We start from the raw sequence: 27,975 nt of genomic DNA, 5'->3' as shown, positions 1-27,975 counted from the left end.
TGGTTTCTCGAAGTAGGAGATGCTGGATTTTGACAGTAAGGATTCCTCTGGCTGCCAAGGGAAGGAGAATATTTCAGGTAAAGCACCAAGTGCCAGTAAGTAGAGGCATGCTTCGAGTGTCAATAGCTGAGCAAGACTGGAGTTTAGGTTGCAAAGGGTGGAGAGATGATGGAAGATGAGGCTCAAGAGGTAAGCAGAGGCCGAGTAATGGAGAGTCTTATGTACCAGGCTAAGAAATTGGAACTTAATGCTCAAGGTAACTGAATGACATTGGAGGATTTAAGTAGGGAACTAATATACAAGGTAGAGGCTGGGTGCAGTGGCTCGTGCCTGCAATTTCAGAGCTTTGGGAGGTGGAGGCGGGAAGATCACTTAGGGCAAGGAGTTCTAGATTAGCTTGGACCACAAAGTGAGACCCTGTCTCTAAAAAAATAAAAAATAAAATTAGCCTGGCATGGTGGCATCCACTTGTAGTCCTGTTTTCAGAAGGCTGAGGTGGGAGGGCCTCTTGAGCCCGGGAGTTTGAGGCTGCAGTGAGCCAAGATTGTGCCACTTTAAACCAGTCTGGATGACATACCCAGACCCTGTCTATATTAATAATTATTTAATTACATAAATAAAATATAAGGGAGACCCAGTGATGTGGAGGAAGAATGGATGGGGATAAGGTGGAAGCAGAGATCAGTCAGGGACTGTTGTAATAGTTCAGGTGAGAGCAAGATAATAGTGTCTGAGCAAGGGGAGCAGCAGTGGGTGAAAGGATACAGGTGAATTCAAGAAGCTCTCAAGAGAGAAATAAGAAGACATAACACCTAAAGACATGTGGGGATATGGGAATATCTAGGATGACTCAGGTGTCTGGTTTAGGGCAGTGGAAGTGGAAATGTTGTTTTCCAGGCTGAAGGCCATAGGCAGAGCCTTGCAACTGAGCTGCCAGCACCGAGAGGTGCCCATTTCCCTCTCTGGGAAGTCCTTTAGCCCCACCATGGCCTGCTGAAGCTCAAGATTTCTCCTGCATGAATGAATATTTTCCCTTTTCCTGCTTCCAAGTGAAGTGAATCCCTGCTCTGCCTTCCTGTTTGGTCAAAGCCTGCGGGGAAAAAGCACAGCAAATGGCTTTCGAAATGCTTTCCAAGCCATCTGGAGCACAGGTTGGAGAAAAGCCCCCCACCCCAACACAGGCCCAGCTCTAACTCCTGGATCTCTGGCTTCATACCCCTGTCTGCTGTCTCTAAGAAACAAACCCTGTGCGGCCTCACTTTATTATGAAATTAAACTTGTTTCTGAAGACCTCAAAGGAGGAAAATGAAATTGTTTTCAGCTTTGATTGCGGTCATAATAAAATAGCTATTTGCGGGGGGATTGTGTTATTCTTGGATAAACGAGGAGCAAAAATACTTTTTTTCAGTTTGCCATAAAGACAGCAATAGAATTTTTCACAAGACAAATGCAATCAATGATTCAGAAAAGATGAGGGCATCTATATTTGTTCTCCCTCGGACATCACGCACAGTGGGATATCTGATCTCTACCAAGCTGGAAAAGTGGCAAAACATGCTTCTGATCTACATTCACAGACACTTCTGGGCAGAGCCCTCCTCCAATTGCGATGCCCCATATCCCTTTCTTGCACCTCTCTCTTAGCTTCCTTATTGAAATTACTGCCTGGAGCCTGAATGAGATTCAGTGTGTTTATATTAAGCACCAACCATATACACTAAGCACGTGCAGAACATTCTCGTGTGGTCACCTCATTCGGTCATCACAACAACTCCGTAAAGTAAGGGATGATTCTTTCTATTCTCCAGATGGAAAAACTGAGATATAGGGTGAAGTGACTTGCCCCAGTTCTCATAGCTGGTGAGTTTAACAAACTTTACATTTTGAATGTAGATCTGTCTAAAGTTCTTTTCCCTACTCCAGGTTGTCTCTTCTTGGGACTCAAGCCTTTGTAGGGCACTGCCAAGTGGCATTGTCTAGAAGGAAATGATTCGGGATTCAGTGACCAATCCCTGTGATCTTGAGAAGGTCACTCTGAGACATTTCGCATCTTGGTATTCTCATTGGGGAAAAAGAGGAGCAATAAATTTGATCTAGTGGGTTGGATTTTGTAAGGATTAATTGTGAGAACATACATGAGATATGCGTTAAAAAGTAAGGGATCCAAAAAAAGTTAGTTTCCTAATGAAGCATTTGTTAGCTCATTCTAGAATATGATGCCTTACCTCCCATGAAAAGACAAAAAATGTTTTAAAATGATACTTAAAAAGACAACTTCCATATGACATGCTGGCACAGGCCATGGGGGGTACTTTGGCTCCAATGGCCTTGGAATAACCTGTCATATCCCACTGTGTTTTAGCCATCCACAGATTCTGTACCCAGTCAGTACACCCTCTCTATCTTCAGCCTGAGGTTCAGGTTGTGCTCAGAGTCAGTGAAAGCATTGCTTTCTCTTCTATCCTGAGACAGAAGTTTTATGTACTACTAGAGTACTTCCAAAACTCAGTCTTTAATTCAGAGTTTTCACTCACCAAATGACCCAAAATGATTTTGAAGAAAGGTTGGATTTTCAATCCCCTGGGTTTGCAAAACAATATTTTTGAGTACAGGTCTCCAGTCTGCTCCCTTCTACATAACCTGCATGAAGAAACAAGCTAGTCTCCAAACCCTGGCTCTTGGGGGAAAGAAGGCAAAGGGAACTATGTCAGTGTGCACCTGCCTGATGTTTCTCCTCTGCCCCCAGTCACCTCTGACTATGCATCATGGGTGACTCAGCTTTGTAACAAGCTGCCTCCTAATAGTTAGCCCATGCTTTTCTGGGCCTGGTTCTGAACTTATATACTTGAGTTGCTGCCAAATTAGATGCCTCTCCCTTTAATTCTCTTTTAAGTTTACATGTTTAAAGACTTGGCCTGGAGATTTCATTAGCATAAAGTATTTGAGTTCTTTGATTTTCTAATAATAAATAAATCAGACATTAGAGTAAGAGCTGTTGAAATCTCAGAAATCTGCCCACAGTTTATCACAAATCTTTTTAGGTATTCAGATGCTTTGGATACACCTTAAAGATTTCAGCCCATATTTGTGATTTTGATCATTGCCTTAGCTTTTGACAAATGCATCAATAATTGGCATGGGAATGGAGCAGGACCCACTTTGGCTGATACCCCAACTACTGGCCTTTCTTGGCAATAACTTCTGATGTTTATGAGGAATCAAGGGTCATTTACATGTGTGAACACAGGTCCTTGCTCATCCACAGATTGTGTTCATGTGTCCTGGGGACTCAGAAGTCCTTGGAGAAGTAAAATTATCCTTAACATCATCATCATCAGAAGACAAGAGAACAAGGGAATATGAGTCCCTCTCCAGTAAACATGGGAGGGAGGGTGGATGCTGTGGGGACACAGAGGAAGTTACACATGTGAGGTCACATCAAGGACATCTGAAGACCTACCTTCCTCTCGATATCTTCTCTTGTATCTGGTCTGAATCCAACAACACAGCCTTTCCTACCCTGGGCCATCAGTGAGTAGGTGAGTCAGGAACTTACAAAGGTGCAAAGAATCTGAAGTTGGGGTAGAAGAAGAGAAGAAGAAGAGACACTTCCCCATCCTCATAGCTTCTGATTGGAATTGGGACCTTGTGAGAGGATCACTGGCAAAGCAGGATGCATGCAGATCAAGGAGCCCAGGATACAGTGGGGATGACAAACCACACCAGGTGAGAAAGAGCTGAAGAGCCCAAGGCTGTTTTGTGTGGAAGAAAAGGTGGCATGGGAGGGCAGTGAGAACTATTTGCCAATATTTGAAAGGTGAACATGAGGAAGACTTGCTCCTCATGGTCAGAGAAACCAGAACTAGAAAGCTACAAAGGAAAACATTCCCACAACATTTTAAGGGTTCTAACAATAAAGGCAGGGAGAAATGGAATACCACCATTTATTGAGCACCGACCATGAGCCAGGGTCTGTACAAGGCTTTTTGTATGTTTTTGATCATAAAGTCTTCACCCAAGTCCTGAATACTGACATGAAAGAATGAAAAGTGAGAGAGGTTATGGAACTTATCTGAGATCCCAGAGCTAGTGATGAGCTAGGGAAAAGCTTGAATTTGAACTTCTACCACTTCTCCACACTCACCCTATTATGCTCAGTGATCAAGCAGAATTTGTGTGACCTCATTTTAGGAGATCGAAGGATTCCTGCGTAGATAAGGACTCACACTAGCCATTTCCTAAGGTCCCTTCCCATTCTGAGAATATTGTGCACAGTCCTGGTGGCCCAAGAAAATGGCTGGAGTGTCGAGGGCTGGAGAGAATAAAGGAAGGAATGTTTTGTGGGCAAGTCATCTGTTCAACAGAGTGAAATGAATGGCAAATAGGCTTCCCCTGGGACTGATTCCCTCCAAGTGTACTCGACAATAAAATGCTTCACAAAGAAACCTGACAATTTAGTTGTTAATTCAAAACATCCTTCTCTAAGCTGCCTATAACTACAACCTAATTGTTGCAAGTTGGTGGTTTATGAAGGAAAGAAAAGAAAGTAAAATCACATTAAATACAAATGTGTATTTCTTCTGCAATAACTCATTTTATTCCTATGTTCATTTTTCTCTGTACTCTTTCATATTACCATCAAATAGTTAATCTACACACTAAACATTTATTTCTATGAAATGTTTAATGTTATTTCAAGAATTTAGAGGTTTTCCACTCTCTCTTGTAAGAGGCAGCTCAGTGGTGGAAACAGTCTGGGCTTTGATACATAGGACTTGATTTTAGACCTAGCGAGGAACAGTACCTAGTTGGTGACTCAGGCAACTTCTTTAACCTCTTTGGACTTTGGTTTCCTCATCTGTAAACTAGATAATAACATCACCATTACCATTGTTGGGATGATCAATAAGATCAAAGATATGAGAAGATCTTTTAGGCTGTAGTAAATAATACCAACGTTTCTTATTCTTTTCTAGCTCAAAGGACTTGCCCCATGAGGCATTATTTTGACTCCTGGGTCAGTTATGGATTTATTAATTTATCATCCAGTCACCTATCCATCTAACCATTCATCCATCCATCCATCCACACATCCATCTACCTATTTTGCTATTTATCTTTAAAATGTTGATTGAGTTTCTGCTATGTAGCACATACCAAATCAGGAGCTAGGAGTATAGGTATAAACAAGAGAGACTGCAATTCCTGCTGCCAAAGTCCTTCTGTCCAGAGAAAGGGGCAGACACATTTATATATAATTATACAATAAAGTTGTCACGGAAGATCTCTTAAACCATGGAAGAAATGTAACAATTTCAGACTATTCTTTTTTCTAATTTTCTATTAGAAGCAATGGAGAATACCATGAGAATTTGAATTGCCAATTGTTCTGCACTGGGAAATAGGGAAGATCTTGGATATAGAGAAGCGAGAGATTTTTTCTGGGCATGGGTGCCAGATGGGGATGCCAGGGGGAGACTGCAGAACAATCCTGGTGGTAGGTGCCAACTGTCTCTTCTTCATGGAGACAAGCCAAGTGAGAAGAACCTCTGAACCTCAGGTCTTCCCTTCTACTTGGGGCATTGGTGGTAGTGCCAGGGACAATAGCTGTGGGGAATGCTTTATTTTCAAACTATCTTGACAAGCAGCAATTCAGAGAACTGAAAACTATTCGAGGACTCAGGAAGAGCAGATACTACCCCCACAATTATGGAAGATCACTACTTCTTAGCACAATGTTACCCCTAACCCCAGCCAACCTGGCATAGTGGACACACCGTGGGAAAAGGATGTGCATGCATGAAAAAAATGATCCTAACTGGTTTCATGGGTAAAACAACTGGAAAAGGATGATATAGTTGCCAGAGCCGTAATCAGCTGTGCTGGATTCAGGCTGGAGCTTCAGACAACAGGGAACAGAAGGCCAAGCAGGAACTGAGAGAAGTAGACCTGTGACATGGGCCTTTGCAGTGGGATTAGGTGGGCAGGAGCTTCCACCATGTCCTTGGTTGCAAGATTAATTACACCTAATGGGAGAGATGGGAGCCTGATGTTCTACCAGATAGGTCCTTATTGACTTAGTGGTATGTCGAAGAATTTCATTCTCTGCAGCTTGGCTGGTTGAGTTGGACAGTGCTTGGCTGGTTGAGTTGGCAGTGTAGTGTTTATCATGTACTCTCCTCTACATGTCTTTATATATGTACATGTATACAGCCTGAGGTTCAGGCTCATGTGTGTACATATGTATATGTACGTACATATGTACACGTGTATGTACACTTGTACGTACATATGTACATACATATGTACAAGTGTATATACAAATGAAAACACACAATTTTGAGAGGTTGACGTAAGATTGAATTTTTCTGTTTATCACTTCATTTTGTGTAATTATAGGCACCATTTATGTTTCACTTATTATATGTCAGTTTCTACACCAAATACTTTGTATACACTATCAATATCTCTGTTAAGAGTCTTTATGTAGGAAGTACCAGAAAAGTCAACTCAAATTAGCTTAGCAACAAGGCAGTATTTTGGCTCCTGTAAAGGAAGAGTCCTAAGGTAGGTTTGTTCAAGAAATCACCAATATTCAGTTTCTTTCTACATCTTTGTTCTACCATCCACAGTTCAGCTTCATCTTAAGGTTGACTCCATGGTCACGAGATGTCTACCAATTGCACTTGGGTCTATGTTCTTCCTTGCTTAATGTCCAGAGACTCACTTCCCCGACTAACAAACAATTGGGGTTACAGATTAGACCAAGTTAAGCCAAGTGCCCATCTCTGAACAATCACAACAGCAAGGAGGTGGAAATGTGCTGATTGGCCGAGACCTACAGCAGTGACCCACTCAATAACTGACATTGGCTTCCTTCCCTTCTCTGTCTTACCTGCCCTTTCCTCATCTCCACTTCTCAAGATCTAATTCTTGGGCTATCCAATCTAAAGCAGCACCTTGCCCTCCCTAGTCAGCTACAAGAACCTCCAGCCATCCTTACTGCAACTAAGAGCGTGCCATGGACATAACAGGTGCTGATAGGTGTTGGTTTGATGCATGAATACCACCCCAAGAATGTGGTGACCACATGGAAAAGGGTTTTGTCCCCATAGGCACAGGGAGTATGACTATGACCCTCTTCCCCTGTCATTATTTCCTCACTGGGTCCCAGAGTAATTTAAGGAAAACAGAGACTGGTCTATCTTTCTAAACCTTAGGAAAGTGTTTGCCTTGAAGCTTTAGCTGATATCATAAGTGTAAACTATAACTGGCACCTGGTTATAAAACAATCCCAGAGAAAGAACGTTCACAGAGATTTTGTAAATGAGATCCCACAAAATAGTCCAGTAGTTTCTCTAATACCTTTCCAATTATATCCCATTGCCAATTCCATGACAACTCCCATAAAAATTAGAAGGTAAGTGGAATGACTTCTGATATTCTCTTCTGACATTTAAGGTAGTACCCTAGCAATTAAGTCATTTTGATTCAAAATATTTCTTATCTTTCCAGACTACCTATTGGAGAATGTAAAACAAGTTCCTTAGGGGGTGATAAAATATTACTCATGAGAAAAACAGAGGCTATCATAGAAGCATTCTAAAACAATTAGCAGGAGAAACAGCATTTAAGGAAATAAAGCCATATCCCTCGTTGGTAGAGTAAGAAAGAAGGGGAGTAAATAGATTTTATCCTTTGCTCTTCAGAACAGTATAATTCTCTTTGAATTCTGGGTTTCCACATGGCTAATATTAAAGATATAATATTCACAGAAATTAAAGACTAAAGAAATGTGTATGTGTGCACATTCATTTGTCTACAGAGATTCCATATTATAATCAAGGTTAAGCTCTAGGCAATACAAGTGAAAATATGGTGAAAAGACTTATGAAGGGAAATTAAGACTTTCCAGAACTTTACTGTCTATATTTTTTATCCATTGACCTGAAAGACCTCAAACAATACTTAGTATGTACTACATAAAAATATGTGGATAGTTATTTCTACCCACACTTAATGGAAATATCACAGAAGCCCACATAAGAAACAATGATTTAGGCAAAAAGAAGATGAAAGGGAACGAATTCCACGTGTGTCACAATGAACAAGCTAAGTTCATGGAGTAAATTTAGAAAGCAACTAAGTTTTTTACCACAACTTTCCTGGGGGTACAATTGACATACAATAAACTTCACATACTTAAAGTGTCCAATTATGCCTTTCATAATTCCCTCCCTCCTTGGCAAAGTTATGCTTCAAGATATAACAAAAAAAAATGTGATGACTTTTAGTGAAATGTGCCTGATATAACTGAGTAACTCAAGTGTTACACAATTCAGGGTCATCAAAGAAAATGTTTCAAGAATAAAAGAATGTTATTAAGTCCATGATTCATTCACTTTTGTACCTTCCCAAGCTCCTGACAAAGGTCTTGGCGCATAACAAGGATTTATAGATGTAGTTGATTTTGTACCAATTCATTTTTAGGTGTTGACATCCAGGTTATGAACAAGACCAGCTAGATTCACGGTCCACATGCCTGTTGGCTATTTATTGGCTGAGGCCAAACAATCTAAGAGCATCCACTCTGAGGCCCATGTTATCTACTTAGAGTGGTCACTTACTGACTTCCAGAATCTTCCTTTCTGTTACTGAGGACTTGGGATGTGAATCCTAATTCCTGTTTTAAATCCTATATTCCCATAACGTCCCAGAGGCTCTATCTTCCTGACTAAACCTAGGCTGATAGAGGAGCTTAATATTCTGGGCAATGAAGAGCTTCTGAAAGTTCTTGACTAGAAAAGTCACATCATAAAAGGAATATTTAAAGAAAACTGCATATCAGGAAGCCAGGAGCCTATCCAGCTGGTGTTGTTGATAACTACTTCATTTTCTGTGTGATCCTGCTCTGAAGATGTCCCTGGGGTGGTCTGATCATCTGAAGCAGAGGCTGGCTTTGGTGTCATGATCCTCCCCCAGCTCTAGCTGAGTTTGTCTCAGTATGTGCGTTATGTGGACATGGGGTGCATGACAAGAAGGCAGCACAGCATTCTCTATTCACACTTGGCCCTTGTCTGTCACAAGCCCAGGAAAGAGCTGGCATGAGATTCGGAACATCTGGCTTTGGCTCTTGGCAACCATGTGAACCTGAGCAAGTCACTTTCCCCAGCTGTGCTTCCGTCTACTCATCTGTTAATTGGTCCAACAACGTAATTGTTCCAGAGGTGCCTTTGGCCCTAACATTCTGCAAGTTCACTGACAGCAAGCTGATTTCCTTGGCTCGAAATGTCCCTTTAGGCTGGGCCTAGGACAAGATCAGCAAGGACTAAGCCAGGCCTGGAAACTGTAAGCTCTCTCCCAGGCCTATGACAGCTGATTAATGGACATGACCTTGTTCTGGGATGGAACTTGAAGGCAGCCAGGGAGGTGAGAATCCACAGGCACTAGAGAAGCAAACAGTTGTCCACAAAATCAGGGCCCAGGAAGGGTGTGGCCACCTTGGCTGCTGACAAACACAGGGACATAAATCAACCTTGCCTCTTGGACCTTCCTTTGAGGGAGCTACTGCCACCTCTTACAGTGTGATTATTAGGTTTAGAATAAGCTATAGTGTAAATTTACGGTGTCTGCAAGCTCCCCATATTTTCCTGAAGAAGATTCCTTCACCAAACAGTCTCGCCTGTCCCGAGGCCCCATACTTAAGCCACACACAAATCTTGATTTCATCAGGAGCTCTTTGTTCCCTCAGCTGCTCCTCTTTTCCCTCTGAATACACACACCCTTCCCTGGAAGTTTTATTGTTCCCCCACTGCGTCGTTTTCTCATGAGTTCCTTCCTAGGGAGCTGGGGCTTAGCCAGCCTCTTCTTATGGGAAATAGACCCTGGCACCCACAAGAAAGCCCCCTTCACTCTTCATGATGTCTCTTTTTGTCATTAAAAAAAGAAAGACAATAAAAATCTCTCTTCCTCCTGGTGCTCTTTATAGATTTTCTCATTAAGAGAATTAAGAGCAATCAAAGCCAAATCCATGGCTGCTTCTCTTTAAACAAATCATCTTGAAACTCTTTGCTCCTCAAGTGAAATATGATGATTGTTTGCTGCCAACACTAAACTCCCAGTGTAGGTTCCCGTCATCTTCTCTGCAGTGCAGTCAGAGGAAAGGAGAAAAGCAGGTGGTGGTGTTTGAAGCTGCACATTTCCATCCAACAGCCATATGCCTCTGATGTTCAAGTGGAAGGAGCTCCACACTTGGTTTCTGACTGGTCTCTGTACAGGGCTTATATAATTGTTCCTTCTGGAAGCCATCCAGACCCAGAATGAGTAGAGGTAATGAGCTCCCTATTCCTGCAAATATTTACAAAGAGGATGGCTGTCCTCTATTATCTGAGGAATTAGACTAAATGACTACTACGTCCACTTCTCTTTGGAGTATCCTGAATCCAGAGCCCATTTGTCACTAGTCTTACAATGCTGTCTGAACAGCAGGTCCATCAAGGAAAGATCTGATAGGATATAGGGCCTAAGTACAGCCATCAGGAATGAGTAGGAAGAAGCCCTCATGGCAGAGGATAGCTGTAATCCAGGTAGACATGTCTAATCAAATTCTTTGCAGCCAGAAGAGAACTTCTCAGGGCAGTGGTGAACATTTCACAATATTACACATAAAATGCAATAGGCACATTGTAGGCTTCCAGTACATGCCAAAAACCAGCTTATACTGACATTAATTGGATGACTGTGAGACATTAAATTATATTGGAGCATCCAAGGATCTGAGAGTCACGAGAACTTGGTTGCCATTCTTTTTCTCTGTGTCCTTTTGGAGAAGTTATTTTCCCATTCTAGGTTTCAGTTGCCTCATTTGTAAAAATCTAGGATTGGTCTATATCTGCAGTCCCCAAAGAAAGTTCAAGGGAAACTAAGTCCCATTAGATACTTAACATGAAGTTATATTATGGTATAATATGTTTAGAAACCCTGCATGTAACAATGCCCCTTAAAGAATGACAATGCTGATGTGCCTGTGAAAAGTTCCAAAAACTTCTGCAGTGAATACGTCTATTTGTCTTCATTTAACCTTGTTTTTCTGGAATACATTTGAACACAGAAGTCTTTTATCCCAGTACATACCTTTATCACCCAAGTAACCAATGCTCCTCAGCAAACACTCTGGGAAATAGCGATCTAGATCATCTCTAGATAGTTTTTCTAACCCCTATGGCTTCGTAGTCTTAGAACATTATTTGCCGCTCTAATTAGCCAGAGAATCACCAATGAAAAGCTTTATCAAAATGTGCATGTGCAAGACCCATGCTGCCTGCATCCCTGGATTGCATCTCTGATTAGCCTCTCTACTATGGGCTCTGCATGCACTCTTTCCTCTGCCTAAAACACCTACCACATTTTTTAACTAGCTAACTCAACCTTCTCACTTCAGCTTCAGTGGTATTTTCTCTGGACTTCCTTCTTCATCACTCAGGTCTGGGATAGGTATCCATTGATGTAACTTTTACTTTCCAAACCAAGTCTACACAGGAATCAAAGCTCTGTGAAGGCTGGGGCCATGCATCTTGTGTTCTCTATTCTATCTCTAGTGCCTAGGAAAGTGTGAGACATATAGGAGGCCCTTGATTAATATGTATTGCATGATTAGATACAAATCAAGAGACTTTTGGGACTGCTTTCTTAAAGGGAATACCCTTAACAAACTATAGATGTCTTCCCCTTCTATCACCCCACTGCCTCAATCCTTTAAGAGTGATGATCTCTTATGGGAAACTTATTTTTTCTTGTCCCAGTGAGGAAGTTACAGATAGGAAGACATCACAGTTGTTCAAGACAGAACTGGCTGCCTCTGTAGGAAAGAGTGTCTCATAATTGAGCACTTTTACCATAAACACAAAAGAGAACATCATCAATTGAAATTTTGACTTAAATGACTTCGATATCCTCTTCTAATGCAAGTAATCTATAATTTAATTCTTCTTTAATCAGCATTCTGTATAATTTACAGATCCCTATAAAATAAGGCCTATTTGGTTAAATGTCTGGTTTTTAAGAACAACTAAATTTAAGCAATAACTAGTTTGCCAGCAATCTATTACATTAACAATAGCAATCTAATGCATTAATAAAATGCAGCTTAAATGCTAGAGTCAAGAAGCAAACTATATTATACAGCTATCAATTATGATAGAGATTGTAAGTTTTTAAAAGTTTATGATATAATGTTCATTGAAAATATATAGACTCAAACTAGTATTATATAGACAGAATGATCACAACCTGGTTACATGCAGAAGAAAAAAGATGGGAAGGAAATAAACACAAAGGCAGAGTACTTGGGTAAGGAAGATGGAATCAGAAGTAGTTTGTCTATTCTGTTTTTTAATTTGCTCCTGCAACAATTGTTCTCTTTTTAATGTGCTTGTCTTAACTGTAAATTTTTCATAGATAAAAATAAGACTGGAAACAAGAGAAGATATGTTCTTTGGCTTTGCAAACATTATCTTGATTTTTTTCCAGCTGAGGTTTTGGGAACTTGTTCAAAGATGACTGAACTACAAAAAAGAATAATTCTGGCCTCCCTCTTATTTCCAAGCTGTTTTGAAATGTCCTTCATAACAAGACAGAATGACAACAATCACCCCCAAATTTAAATACTTCATTAAGTCATTGACAACCCCTAAAGAACCCAAGGTGGAAACTAAGCTGAGATTGAAAAGTTGACATGTTTGGCCTTTGTCTGCCCTCATTTTGGGGTTAAGTTAATTTTTTATTTATTTTTTGAGAGGATGAGGGGTAGGAGAGTGGCAGTTAGCCCAGGTCAGGAACCTTTATTCTTTGTCCTAAGATAAATCCCAAAAGCTATTACCAGGAAAAAGAAAAAAGTTTCTGTTTGGCTTTTTGCTGTTCTGGCCATAAACAGCAGTCTGAGATCATGGGGGTTGTGGGTGCACAGGATTTAATCTCCGCCAGGTTTTCTTCCCATAAACATCCTTTCAGCTGTCCTGGCCCAAGACATCTTTCCCTTTCTGAGGCTGACACCTGGTTCTCAATGGAGTGGCCTGCTGCAGTGCTCTCAATGGACCCAGCTACCTGGTCTGACCCTTCATGCTTGGAAAATTTCAGCTCATTCATGCTTGAGATATTTGGACCCAAGACAGTCTCTAACTTGGCAGTTAAATATAATTTGACGGAACAGTGAAGCCTGGCATAGTAGAAAGACCATGGCTTTGGGGAGTCAGACAATCTAAGTTTGAATCCCAGTCCCTCTGCTTACAAACAATGTGACTTTGGTTAGACAATTTACTTAACTTCCAGAAGCCTTCATTTCTTCTTGAGAAAATGGTATAATGATTTCTGCCTGAGGGTTTTTTCATAGATTGAAGAAATTATCAGATGCCTAATAGAGTAAACCTGAGTTCCCATTCCTTTGGTAACTAGAGTCACAGACTGAAGTGTTGAGCCACATTTTTGAAATACCACTGAGGAACTAGACTGCGTCCTGAAGAAACTAGCCGGGATGGTGAGACGTCTGGAACCCAGGCCCTATAAAGAATAAGTAAAAGAACTGGGCACATTTGGTATAGAGAAGACCAGGGTGCTATAATAACTGACTTCGAATCTGTGATTCTCTCAAATCTGAAAAGGGGGATGACTTGTTCTGTGTTTATTTTTTCTTAGTTACTGAATAAATATTTGTTGGATGCCTTTGCTGTGCCAGATGCTGTGTTTATTACTGAGGATGAACTAGGGAACCAGAGATTTCCTACCTGCCTTGAGCTTGTGATCTAATTAGAAAGATGAACTTTGAATGAGTAATTTGAAGTGTGATTGGTAATAAAAAGGGGAGAGGCAAGGGCACTGTGTGGTTTTATAATCTGTCAGAATTAGGACCAATAGATATGTTGGTTTCAACATCATAACCCAAAGAGAATCATATTATTGGACAGTTTATGTGCTTCACAAAGTTCCAATTGAGGGATGATTGAGGATTAAAATCTCAGCCTTATTTTGTTCCTGAAACCATGCATCTGCTTAGAGGTGACACCTTTTTTTTTTAGATTTGCACAGAAGTACCATATAGTCTAGAAATGATTCTGAATTGAAATCTCCAAATGGTGACCCATGAAAATATCTGGGCTCTAGATATTCTTTGTTGGTCTATTTTTTTTTATCATTGTTGTTTTTGTTGTTAGTTTAAACTAGTCAGATTTTATAAAGTTCAGGATATTTCACATTAGAACCTAGAATTCTTGGTCCTTTGGATAAATTGGGAAGTCTGATTACAGGGCCACATGTTTCTTCATGGAGAATATTAGCTAGAGATGAGTGATCCCTGCTACCCTTAAAGAACTATAGATGTCTTCCCCTTCTATTACCCCACTGCCTCAATCCTTTTACTCAAGTAATTTTTCTTCCCTGAGTCCTGGGCATTTATGTTTGCTATCCCTTCTCTTTTTGTACCCAGAGCTGGAGGGAATGGGCTCCCCATTGAGGTGATGGACTTCATCCCTGGTGCTATTCAAGCAGTGGCTGTGGGCTTCCAGTCAGGGATGCAGTGAATGAGCCTCTTATACCAGGTAATAATTTTTGACTGAGCTTGAAGTTTTGTAGGTACCTGAAACTCTTTGGATGAAAGTCTATCCTTGGTCTCAGGACACAGTCATTATGCATACAGCACCAAAGTATATGGATCAAAAGGAGCTTTCCTTTATATGTTTTTTATACGGCTATGCCAAACACCTGAATCTATTCAACAAACCTTTAGTGAGTTCCTGATGTGTGCCTAACACTGCATTACACAATACGGAAGTGATCATTCCAGTCAGAGCCTGAAGTGATCATTCCAGTCAGAGCCTGACACCAGCCAATATTCACAAACTCAGTTTATTTTAGCTGTGTTATTCAGTCTACTAAATGACTGAGTAATCAACTAACTAACTCAGTAATTGTTATGGGCTGAATTATATGACCCCCAAAATTCACATGTTTAAGTCCTAACCTCTATGACCTCAGAATGTGACTGTATTTGGAAATAGGGCCTTTAAAATGGTAATTAAGTTAAAATGGAGTCCTCGGGGTGGACCCTAATTCAATATAACTGGTGTCCTTATAGGAAGAGGATGTTAGGACAGAGGGATGACCATGTGAGGATATAGCAAGAAGGTGGCTATCTCCAAGTCAAGGAGAGGGGTTTCAGAAGAAACCAAACCTGCCGACACCTTGATCTTGAATTTCTAGTGTCTAGAATTATGAGAAAATAAATTTCTATTACTTAAACTACCCAGCCTAGGGTATTTTAGTACAGCAGTTCTTGAAAACTAATATGCTAACAAACTATCTAAGAAAAAAAAGTTAAAATCCTATTTCCTGTCCTGGAAGAGCTGATATAATAGGAAAGGAGGCTTGACTTGTAAACATTTCCACCATTAGTCAGAATGATCTTATAGCGACAGCTGGATCGCATTGCTTCCCTGTTCTCAAACCTCTAGTGGCTTCTCCTTATACTTAAAATAAAAACCGAGCTGTGTCCTACAAAGATCCTAGTGTGACCCAGCATCTGCCTAATGGCTAACTAGGTTTGTATTCCCCACCTCTCCTCATACCACATGCCCCCTTCTCCCTTTTCTGCTCCTCTCACAAGCCTAACAAGCATGCCAAGGTCTGAGAATATTCTGCTCTTTCTACCTAGTTCAAGCCATCTTCTCATCACTCCCTGCTGGGCTGCAGGAAGGGGTGGCAGAGGAAGAAGGAGGAGGAACTTCCATTTTCTAAGCTACAGATGCATAGGAGGCAATGTGCTCGGTGCTTCACATGCATTATCTGGAATATTAACCTCACTTAACAGATGAGAAAACTGAGGTTCAGAGAAGTCACAAAGCTTAAGTAGGAAGAGTGGATTGTATTTGAACCTAAGTCTTCCTGGACTGGAATGCCCAGCCTGACCCTGCCTAGTCATGCTGCCTGGTCACTTGCTTGAGGGAATGTGGAGGGGCTTGTTGGCCTTTTTCTTACAACTGTGAAGTCTTTGTGTTAAACAAGCCCCTCTATAGGCTTTCTTGTTAAATGCACATGACCATTGACATCCCTCCCCTCCACTCCTCTTTGCTGAACTTAATAAATAAAGCTGTTCTTTTATTTAACCTGGCATCTTCAGAAGAGTTTCTGCCTGCAGCTAGACCAGGAAGAAAGGAGACTGAGCAGAGGAAATGAAAGAGTAAAGGAGAGGAGAGAGTGGGTAGGACACAAAGCTGAGGTGACTGAAGCAGCAGGAAGTAGGCAGGGCATGAAGAATTGGGATTCAAAGCCCTTGAATTTAGTTCCCAACTTCACTTATGGGGCAATGCTCCAAGTCACTCAGTCACCCTGAACTTCAGCTGGAGAAGGGGAACAGGAATAATGCCTATCTTCCAGGAGTGTTCTGCACAAAACTGAAGGCACAGATGAAAAAGCACTCTGCAAATTAAAAGGTATCATAAAAATGAGAGGGGTTGATATTATTATAATTTATATTGTTATTTTGTAAAAATATTGGGGTGAAAGGAACCTAAACTTAGTCCCTTTGACCAGAGACAAGGTTCAAAGATTTTGACTTGATTATGGAGTCCTTGTGACCTGAGTGGGGCCCACTGCATGGAGTCCATGAGTATGGAAATTAAGCTTTATCCTAGCTAGGGTCAGTGTCCAAGGAGGTCCCAGCTGACAAAGCGAGCTGTACTTTCTAAGCAGCCAGCGATGACCAAAATCCAACAGGTACTGGCATTGAGGTCTGAAGAGATGATTCCAGTCAGAGCCTCACACCAGTCAATGAGCCAGGATGGTGATTCTGTTTCCCAAAGAGAGAGGTCAGAAAGAACTGGACAGTTTTTGGGCCATAGCCAAATAAGCTAGTGTTTGAGGTAGGCTTAAATAACTAGTACACTGAATAAAAAATCTAGGCCAAAGCCCAGTAAGATTGACAGCATACTGGGTAGATAGTTTCCTCTAGGTGAAGAACTTGTTGCCTCAGCTGCTGAAAGTTTTGCTGGCAGAAGGGTCTTCAGTTGTTGGTCCTCTCATAGACTGCCCAAGGTACCTAGGATCACACCCTGCCCCTGGATCCCACATTCAGTGATTGATCAGTGCAGGAGTATAAAGTCATGGCTATCTTGACCCAACTAGGACAACCCTAAAGGGACCTCCTATCTCCATAGCTTCCAGAGGGTGGTCTGAGACTGTCTTGGGACTGCATCACAGCTAGACTTCTCCCTCTGCCCCTCCCTTTCACAGGTGTGGACCCCAAGGCCACTTCTCAATAAACACCCTATGTCTTAGACTCTTAGAATCTGCTTTGTTGGGAATTCAACCTACAACAAATACCTATTGGGGTTTAAATAAATGTACAGGTTGGTGGGAAAGTAGAACCAGGATTCCTCTCAGAAAGGAGTATACCAAGCCTATGATGGCACAACTCATTTCAAGCCCAAAAGGCTGGAATGAAATATATCAGTGAATAAAACAAACAAAAAAGTCTCTACACTCAGGAACTTACATTCTAGTGTGTATCCATGGAGCAGGGTAGAGAGGCAACATTAAAAATAGACAGCTGGGCAATATTGGGTGTGTAGTGGAATTCTCAGTAAACGTATATGAGCAAGGTTCAGAAGACAGAAACAGAAAGGAGCAAATGCACACAGATTCACCATCTCACACTGCTCAGAGTTTCATGCATAGAAGCCGTGTAAGCCCAGGCCTGGAGACTATGTTTCAGAGTGCTAACTACTGAAGGCCAGGGCTTCTGGGCTCAGAGGGCTATATGTTGCAAATATTCCTTCTGAACTGCCAGGATGCAGGTGGACTAAACTTTGAATTGATGGAACTAAGCTATCTCCAGGTGCCATATTGACTTCTTCTGATCAGAGCTACTAACAAGTAGCCTTATTATCAGCCAGACACTCTGCTAAGCACACACCATAGATGATCTCATTTAATGCTCACAACAACTCCAACTCTATGGGGTAGATATGCTTCTTGTTTCCACTATATGGATGCTATGATTTGAATGCATGTGTCTCTACAGAATTCATTTGTTGGAGCTGAACCTCCAAGGTGATGGTATTAAGAGGTGAGGCCCATTGGAGGTGATTATGAATGAGATTGGTGCCCTTTTTTATAAGGCTCAAATGGACTAGTCAGCTCTTCTGTCCCTTCCATCCTGTGAGGACACTGCATCTGTTCTGTCCAGAGGATGCGGCAATAAAGTGCCATTTCAGAAGCAGAACACAAGCCCTCTTCAGACACTTGCCTTGATCTTGGACTTCCCAGCCTCTAGAACTGTGAGAAAAGAAAAAGCAATTCTGTTGTTTATAAACTACCTCCAGTATTTTGTCTCAGGCATTTTGTTACAGCAGCAGAAATTGACTAAGACAACAGATGAAAAACATGAAGTTCAGAGAAGAAAAAGAAAGACTCACACTCAAGTACTCTTTTGCTTATACAGGATTTGTCCCATGAGACCCTTCAACTTCATATATTTTATCTTAATGAGAGGTTTCTTTTTTGCCTTTATGCCTTGGAAATGGCTAGTGGAGTTATTACAGGCATCAGGCCACCCTGGGTAATAGAGACATGGGCCTCCTTGGTTTTTGGACCCAATAGCTGTCATCCTGCCTGTCCAGAAAGGGATTGCATTGGTTCCTTTTACATCATAGTAGCATAAGTCAAAGCCCTTATAAAAGGCAATAAGTGTATAAAAAGGAAACCAAGTTGGGGCAAGATTAGTAGGCTCATCTATCAGAATGAAATAAATAATTTTTAAATAAAATACTGAATCAATGGATAAATCTACTTGAGTTTAAATGAGTCAGAGAGGTTTGCTATATATGTGGATGTGTGTGAATTATTGGCCAAACTCTGGTTCTCCACAAACTGTAAGATAAATCAAGGACAAATTTAATATCAAAGTAGTATTTGGTTTGAGCTCTCCCCCGATAACATTCATTCATTTGACAAAATTTTTATTAAAGTACCTACTCTCTGTCAGGTGCAGCTCTAGATGATGAAATATATCAGTGAATAAAACAAAAAAAAGTCTCTACACTCAGGGACTTACATTCTAGTGTGTATCCATGGAGCAGGGTAGAGAGGCAACATTAAAAATAGACATAATAAACAAATCAAATAAGATATTTTAGAAAATAAGAACTGTCAAGAGAACACAAAAATAGAGCTGGGAATCAGGGATATGGTGTGGGAATTTTTTGTATTAAAAGGCATGGTCAGGGAGGCCTCATTAAGATGACATTAAGCAGAGACTTGAAGGAGGGGAGGGTGTGCACCACACAGATATCCAGGGAAAAGTGTCTCAGGCAGCAGGAACAGCCAGTGTCAAGGCCCTAAGGTGGGAGCATGTTGGGAGCATTCTAGTAAGGAAGCTGGCTGAGAGGAGGGGGCAATCAGAAGATTAAGAGAACAAGCAGAAAAGTAACGACGGCAGGATCATGTAGTCCACACTGGCCTCTGTAAGCTCTTTGGCTTTTCCTCTGCGTGCTCTAGAGCCTGTGGAGGGTAATATAATGGGGAGTGACATGATCTAATGTTTTAGAAGTATTCCTCCAGCTGCTGTGTTGAGACAGATGGCAGAAGTGCATGAGTCATAGGCATCGCTGTCCATCCTGGAGATGTTCCCCAATCAGAGAGGAGGGTCCACTCCTTCACTGCAAGCTTTTGGACTCACATGGAGTTCTGGGCTTTCCTCAAGCTTGGGGTCCCTGGAGCCAGACTGCATCTGCGGGGAAGGTCTGTCCTGCTTCCTAGCTATGGAAGCCACATTGCATAGTTTGCCCTTGTTCTCTGCAGACTCAGCTGCTGGCCCTTTCTCAGACTCCAGCGGATACCTTTGCTGGATTCTTGCTGCCTTTATTACAGTAATCTACATACTAAACTGAAATAACTGGCATTTCTGTCTGTCTTCCTAACTGATCTCGGAAATAGAAGCTTCCTTATTTTTACTTTAATTTCAAGCACAAAGTGTCTTATACAACTAGGGTTTCATTATGTGCTTGATAAGTGAATTAATGAATGTACAGAGCCAATGGGCAAACTTTACAGGACATTTGAGCCTATTGGGAAAAAATTCTAACAGCCAGAGCTGTCCAACAATGGAAGAGGCTGCCTTCTAAGGTAGAGAACTCCCCATCATCAGACAGTCCAAGCAGAAGCTGGGCAACAATTTGGCAGGGCTATTAAAGATGATACAGGGAGTGTTGAATTAGGTCTCTTGGAGCAGCATTCATTAATGAGGATCTGTGTAAGCTTCATTTTAAGGCTGCAGTAAAAATATAACATTTCATCTGTGTGTTCAGAGGTGAGCTTCAGGGATTGGGAACATCCTGTTTGGTAGTAAGGTCTTGAGGGTAATACACTTATCCCACACCTCTTCATACTGTAGGTCAGACCATTTGAGAAAGCTGCTGGTGTCAGAGAAATGGAGATAAAAATTTGTAAAAAGAAAAAAAAATTGTAAAAAGGTGATGGGAGAAAATGGCTTGGATCTCTATCCCAGCTGGCTCCCTAATTCCAGTCCCCACCAACCGAACTTCTTGACCCATTTGCGTGGATGGGCAGTCCCAGACCTTTCTGGTAAAGACTCTAATGAGAGAAAACTTGAAGGGCAGATCTACATGGGCTGGTGTCCTTCTTCCTCATCTCATTTGCTTTGTGAGCAATTCATGGGCTGAGGAAGGGGTCACAATTTCCCCACCTTGAAGCTAAAATAGAAATTTGTTCCATGCAATGAACAGTTGAGGATGGGGAATGGGGAGTCAGTGTACTGTTCAAGGCACTGCAAATGCAATGAGACAGCACATCAGGCTCTAAAGTGGGGGCTGCTTGCTGGCCCCCGTTGCCCTGAGGCAGCTGAGTCCTGTGGAGGGTTAGCAGACAAGAGCTGTGCTTCTGTTTGATGGGGGAGAAAGACTCTTACAACTGAAGCTTTTACTTTAAGACACAATAAAAGACACTGACATGCTGTGTAAGCATTGTTCCTGGCTGTAGTTATTCCAATTATTTTTTATGTTTTCTCCTTAAATGAGAAACATATCAGACACTAACTCAAACACGGAGATACCTATTTATGCTTCAGAACAAACAGTTTAAGGGCATTATATACAGATGTCTAAATATTTAGAAAGTGTCTGTTTATGGGAGCAAAATGAAAAGTACCTGTTTTCATTTGAAGGATTTTATGTGAAATTTGCATGTAACAAAAGACAGCCCCAGTGGCAAAGGGGTGTTAGAGATGAGAAGTGTGTGCAGACGTGAAGTTGTGGAGGAGGGGGAAAAGGGAGCATTGTGGGGTGGGGTCTGTCCTTTGCACTGACCCAGAATTGGGGGGAACTGGCAAACTTAAGCTGGGGTGATGTTTCCCCTTTGGCTGGGGTGTAAATAAATTCCTTGAAGACATCAGAGTATTTTAATGACCTAAAATGGGCTTCTGAACTCACAACTTTATCTTCTTATTAGACACTCTTCTTAGCCCCAAAGGGACATTTAAAGAGAAATAAGATCCTGATCATTTTAGAAAAATGTAGTAAACTGGGGATTATTAGACTATCTGGGGGATGCTCTGGGCCCCCCAGAGCTGGGGCATCATGGGAGCTTAGACGGAGGAGTTGAGAGATCATCTAACACTTTATCTGACATGCAAGCAGACTTCAGCTCAATTTAAGAAAGAACACAATGTGTGACACTGTGTATGGTTTTGGGAAGTAGCGAGGTCTCTGTTGACTGAGGTGTTCTAAAATAAAAAGACCTCCTATCAGAGATGTTTTAGGGGATTAGCTAGATTGCAATTTTTCTCTGGCCCTTTTAGTCCTCATGATTCTGAGATTAGGTGATTCACAAGAGTTCCAAAGGCACTCTTCTTCCACGACTTTGTTTCCTAGGGACATACTGCCAGCCCTGCAGCTCCTGGAGCTGGGGACTCCTCAGCAGCTGATTGAATCTGCACTGAAAAATTCAGAGCTGTTTCTTGAGTGAAGGATAAATGCTGCCTGTGCCATCTGCTTCTTGGTATCTCTCTGAAGCTCTCACTGGTCCCAGTTCTAAAGGTCTACATTCCTCATGATGGGGACTTGCTCTTGCTTGACTTGGGGTGTGGTCTTAGACTTCTCTCCCCTTTTCTAGATGGGGTGGGATCTTATATGGGGGGCTCCTAGTAGAATCATTTGCTTCAGGGGCTGTGAGAACAGAAACCGGCAGTCCAGGGGAGGGAGCAAGATTCCTAGGCTGTCTCCCTTTCTCTATCCCATATTGGAATTTAACAGTGAGGCTGGGCTGATCACCTTGGCATTAGAGGGCAATGGGGAAGTTCTGAGTTCTGCCAAAGCCTCCTCCAGTTGGTTCCCTTGACTCAACCACCTCAGTATGATGGTGTGGTGTGTGTTTCGGGTGGAGCAAGGGATGCAGCTGAAATAGATGCAGGGGCTAAAGGCAGAAGCAGAGGTTCTCCTGTCAAAACAGGCAAAATGCCCATGGTGCAGCCCTTTCTACTTATGGTTGAGAGTTGACACTCAAATTTGGCCCTGGAGACAGAGTGTAAATGGTTGACATATTTTTCTAGGGCTTCCATTGAGAGCAGGACTTAAGGACAATGGTTCCAGACCTCAGCAGATGGGAACATACCTCACAGGTGGTTCACACATGTTCACTCCACAAGGAACATTCATCTTTATGCCAAAAGGGAGTGGCCAAAATAGTTAAGATGAGAAACTGGTTGGGGGTTAGGAGTTGGGGGTAGTGTGATGGAGATGCAGGAGCTTAGGCTGAGATGGGAATTGCTAGGATCAGCAAGACAAGAAGAAGATGAGGGAGACAGACATGAAATTTAAGACTGTTTCAAATGGCTGTTTTCACTCTATTGTTCCCTTATCCTATGAAAGGGGAGCTCTGAGGCTGGGTGTTCATCGTTTCATTTATTCATTCAGTGTTTTTTCAGTGGCATATTGAAAACAGGCCCCATCCATATATTGGAGTAAAGTCCCTACTCTCAAAGAGCTGAATATTTAGTGGTAATTGCAGTAACCAAACTCTATTGAAGATTTTACACTCAATTGTCAAAGTCCAAGGTAGCTGGTATAGAGAGCAACTCCCAGAGACCAGCTGAGCATCAGGAGCAGAACCTCACTAACTGGAGAGGGGTTGGCAGGAGCAAAGCAGGTCCCTCTTGCCCCTTAGAGGAAATCGGTGGCTAGAGAAGCTACCTGAACTTGGGACCAAACAGGCTAGTCTTACACCAGAAAGCACCTAGTAAAAAGTCTTGGCTGAAAACCTGAGTTCTCTAGAGGTACCCTAGCTAATTGGAGGTGACGGGAGGGCAGCACAGAAGCTTGGTGGTTAACACAAACCACCCCCACGCCAGACCAATGGAGAGGCAACTTGGGAAAAACAGTGGAATCCTGAACTCAGTGCCTGGGAAATGACTCACAGATGAGGCTAATAAACAGAGAGAATCAACATTAAGCCCCATTGGACTGGATTCTGAAGATGCTTGAGGACTTCCTGCCTTAGTCAGATTTGGTTTGGAACTGGGGCAGGGCCAGGCCTGCAGGTGGAAGCAACATCAGCCCCAGCTGTGGGTCCTTCTGACCTCTTTTTCTCTCTACCAGAGAACTGGCTATTTTTACCTGTCAACTGGTAAGTTTTTAGGGAGATTGAATTCAACTGACATTTACTTTGTGTGTGTCCTCACACCCAGACCTAGAGATAAAAGAGAGAGCCTCCGCACTAGAAGAGACAATGGCTAGTGGGAGCAGGCCTTCTAAACAGCCAGTTGCAGTGCAAAGTGACAAGGGCTTATAATGGATTTGGATAAAGAGCTTGGGATTCACGTAGAGGAAGAAGCCCATAAACATGCTGTAGAGCATGCCCCTGACCATATGCCCATTGAATGAATTAACAAACTGTTATTAGTTTTTTCTTTGTTTTTTGTGTTTTGGTTCAGAGAAGGATGGATAGAGAAAAGCATCATTACAAAAGTGAAATGTGTGAATTTTATTCTGGCTTTGAACATTGAGTAGACGAAGAAGACAATTCCAGACGGAGGAAACTCCACAAGAAATATCATGGAAATTTGAAAGAACACAGTGGGCTTGGGAAGAGGTGAGTTGTTTGGTATGGCTAAAAAGAGATGAGGCTAGAGATAGTAGGCAAAGTGCAAGGGATCTTGAACACAGAATTAGGCAGCTTTTTCTGTGTAGCAAACAACCACAGGATTTCAGGACACAAAAAAAGCTAGCATTGATGTCTAGCACATGCATTCACAAGGGGCTGGGATGGGTGTTTCAGGCCTGAAGTCAAGTTCAGCTCTGTCCCACACATCTTACTGTGAGCCCAGGCTATCCAGTAGCAGTTTTCTGGGGAATGTTCTTCTCATGGAGGAGGTTTGAAGCTCTTAGAGGAGTAAGTGGAAACGTATAATGTTACTCAAATCCTAGGCTCAGAACTTAGACACTGTTTCTTCTACCAGTACAGAATCATGCCCCACGCCCAAGATGAATGGGGGCAAAAGAGCACTTTTCCCATAGGAGGTGATAGAGGGAGTGAGTTAAAATAGTTGTTTAACAATTCTCTTATCTGCCTTAAATACTATGCCATACTGTTTTGTTTTGATTGTGGAAAAAATCAGGGATGTTGCTAGGTCTTCTTTGTAGTTGAGATGGTTCCATTTAAACAGGAGTGTCCAGAAACACTCACCATAATGCAAGGGAACATTTTATTCACAACTGAATGTAGTCAATATTCTTCACTTTGTTTACATATTGGAGTGTCTGAAAGACAGGCATTGTGATTCATTTATCTCTATAGCTTCAACACTGAGCACAGCTTACAGCACACAGCAAGTGCTCGTAACATTTGTTGAATGGAATGGCCTTACATTGCCCTCAATGTATGATTAAAATTTAATGGGTAATGCACATTTCTCTACCTCCATTGACAGTTCAAGGTAAGGGTGGGGTAATGAGTGAAGAGCAGACATGACCCACTTGAGGTGGGAATGAAAATGCTAATCAGAGAAACCAGCAGCAGTCGGAAGCAGGTGGCCCAAACCCCAGCTGCAATAGTCAAGAGGCCACTTGATGTTGAGAGCCAAGAAGGACTTTGAATAATGGGACTTCTTCCAGGTAACCGTCGATTTGAAAGATATGTATATATTTCTAATGACAATGGCTAACACATATTGGCTGCCTCCTACATGCCTGACACAGTCTTAATATGTTGTATATATTATTTCATTTAATTGATTCTTCCTTTGGGCCACAGTTATTAATGAGAGACATCATTGAAGAGAATCATAGTCTGTTTCCATTGTACTAGAGTTGCATTTTTATGTGCTGGTTCAGTGGCAAACGAGGACAGAAGAGGCTAAAGCAATGTAAATACAATTGAGTATTGTAAGCACAGCTGATGAAGTCAGTAAAACTGAGCAATTGCCGATGAAAGACTGAGAATGCACTGCAAATAGTTTCAGTTCTCAAATAAAAACATGACCAGATCAGTGAACAACAAAGAATGTGGACAAAAGAATGAAGGAGCCAGAAAAACTGATTCCCTCTCTGCCACTTTTGGTTCAGAATTCCATTGATAATTCTGGTGAGGAAGCACTTAGATCTCAGGGATCCTGTGCAGTATATCTGGGCCTGCAGACCCTTGAGAATAGGCATGTAGTTTTTCACTTTTGATGCCCCAGAGCCTAGCATGGTGCTTGGCAAATAGTGCAAACTCAACATTCTTTAAAGACCTGAACTCTGGCCTATCATAGAGTGAAAAGAAGCTTGAGGAAATTTACCAACGTCTTGACCAGGTTTCCGTAGACAATGCCTCTTTCCGTTCCTCTCTGTTAGAGATCTCAGTGGTGGAAGCACCATCATCCCAAGGAGACTTAGGGTAAGTAACTACTCTTCAGTTCTCTCCTTTGATATCTGAATATAACTTTTTCCCTATCCCTGTACCTGCCCCTCACATCTGGCCCAAGATCTTGGTCTGCAGAAAGCAGGCAGATATCAATAGGCCATTGAGCAAAGGCCTCTTGTGCTCTGAGTAGTGCTAAATTGTGGGGATGTGGCTTTGAAGGCTGTCATGGAAATTATGTGAGGCTGTGACCAGTGAATGGTATGAGATTTCAATTCATTACCAGAAAGAGTATGCATTGGGGCCGGGTGTGGTGGCTTACACCTGTAATCCCAGCACTTTGGGAGGCTGAGGCGGGCGGATCACAAGATCAGGAAATGGAGACCATCCTGGCTAACAGGGTGAAACCCCGTCTCTACTAAAAATACAAAAAATTAGCTGGGGGTGGTGGCGAGCGCCTGTAGTCCCAGCTACTCGGGAGGCTGAGGCAGGAGAATTGTTTGAACCCAGGAGGCGAGGTTGCAGCCGAGATTGCACCACTGCACTCCAGCCTAGGCAACAGAGTGAGACTCCGTCTAAAAAAAAAAAAAAGGAGTGTGCATCACTCCCAAGCCATCTGGAATACAAAAGATGGTGCAAAAAAAAAAAAAAAAAAAAGCCCCTCCATTTAAAAAAAAATTTTCCTTCTTAGATCTTCTAGTTCTATCAAGTTCACCTTGAATGGGGAGGAAAGGGAAAACTTTTCCTATCTATCTAACCCAATTCCTATAATATATATAATAGAAATTGGCTATTAGACTGAGTAATTTCTAAAGAAATGGGGCTTATTTGGCTTGCAATTCTACACGCTGTAAAAGCACGGCACTAGCATCTGCTTCTGGTGAGACCTCAGGAAGCTTTTAGTCATGGTGGAAGGTCAAGGGGGAGCAAGTGTGTCCAACCTGCTCTCACGTGAACTATTAAAGTGAGAACTCATTACTACAGGCAGGGCGCATTTCATGAGGGATTTGCCTCCATGACCCAAACACCTCCCACCAGACTCCACCTCCAACACTGGGGACCATATTTCAATCTGAGATTTGATATCTGAACCACATCATGGGATTAGTGCCCTTATAAAAGAGGCCCAGGGTCCCTTGTTTGCCCCTTCCACCATGTGAGGCACATAGCAGGCACTAGGTATGAGGAACAGGCCTTTACCAGACTCCGAATTGGCTGGCACCTTGATCTTGGATTTCCCAGCATCCAGAACTGTGAGCAAAAAATTCTGTTGTTTATAAATTACCCAGCTTAAGGTATTTTATTGTAGCAGCCAAAATTGACTATGGCCCTCTGGGTGATGGATGATGATGCAAGCATCTCTACAGCATTATGCAGGCAGAAAAAAAAAGGGTGTAGAATTGTGGACAGTCTTCACAGAAGAGGTGCCCTTGAGCCAAGTTTAAAAATAAATGTCCATTTTCAATAGTCTGATGAGAATATAAATTACTAAATGGCAGGTAGAAGAAAGAGCATTTACATGGGCATGGAGAAATAATAGAAAATGGCGCATTTGGGGAGCTTGAAGTATTCTTATTTGGCTAGAGTGCATGATCTCCACATGAAGGCACAACAGGAGACAAGATTTTTTTTTTTTGAGATGGAGTCTCACTCTGTTGCCCAGGCTGGAGTGCAGTGGCATGACCTCGGCTCACTGCAACCTCTGCCTCCCGGATTCAAGCAATTCTCCTGCCTCAGCCTCCCAAGTAGCTGGGATTACAGGCATGTGCCACCATGCCCAGATAATTGTTTCTGTATTTTTAGTAGAGACAGGGTTTCACCATGTTGGCCAGGCTGGTCTCAAACTCCTGACCTCAGGTGATTCACCAGCCTTGGCCTCCGAAAGTCCTGGGATTACAGGCGTGAGCCAGCACACCCAGCCAGGAAACAAGATTTAAAATATTTAAACAGAGTCTGCCCTACATCTTGGGTAAATCATTTTCCATTTCTGACTTTTAATCAGTTCATTTATATAGCTGAACTAGAGTCCCTGCCCTCCCTAATTCCTAGGGCTTAGCTTTAGAATTTATTTTAATTTTT

General features: G+C 42.1%; 1 long non-coding RNA gene across 8 annotated transcripts in view; it reads left to right on the top strand.

Annotated features, from left to right (window-relative positions):
* Positions 1–27,975, top strand: part of LOC105376567 (uncharacterized) — a 67,229-nt gene that overhangs the window by 28,209 nt on the left and 11,045 nt on the right. For 3 of the 8 annotated variants that reach the window (XR_001748140.2, XR_931064.3, XR_931065.3), the window contains exons 2-4: positions 14,477–14,588; positions 23,990–24,147; positions 25,890–25,932. The exons of 1 other annotated variant lie outside the window; for it this stretch is intronic. This is a non-coding gene — a long non-coding RNA (uncharacterized LOC105376567). Of the gene's footprint in view, positions 1–14,476; positions 14,589–23,602; positions 23,683–23,989; positions 24,148–25,889; positions 25,933–27,975 lie in introns of those variants that run through there. 4 more of the 8 variants (XR_002957239.2, XR_002957238.2, XR_931068.3 and 1 more) reach the window with 4 other exon arrangements.

This window comes from Homo sapiens, chromosome 11, assembly GCF_000001405.40.
Source record: "Homo sapiens chromosome 11, GRCh38.p14 Primary Assembly".
Lineage (NCBI taxonomy): Eukaryota > Metazoa > Chordata > Mammalia > Primates > Hominidae > Homo > Homo sapiens.
Note: the sequence above shows the minus strand (reverse complement) of the source record. Positions and strands in the feature narration are given on the sequence as shown.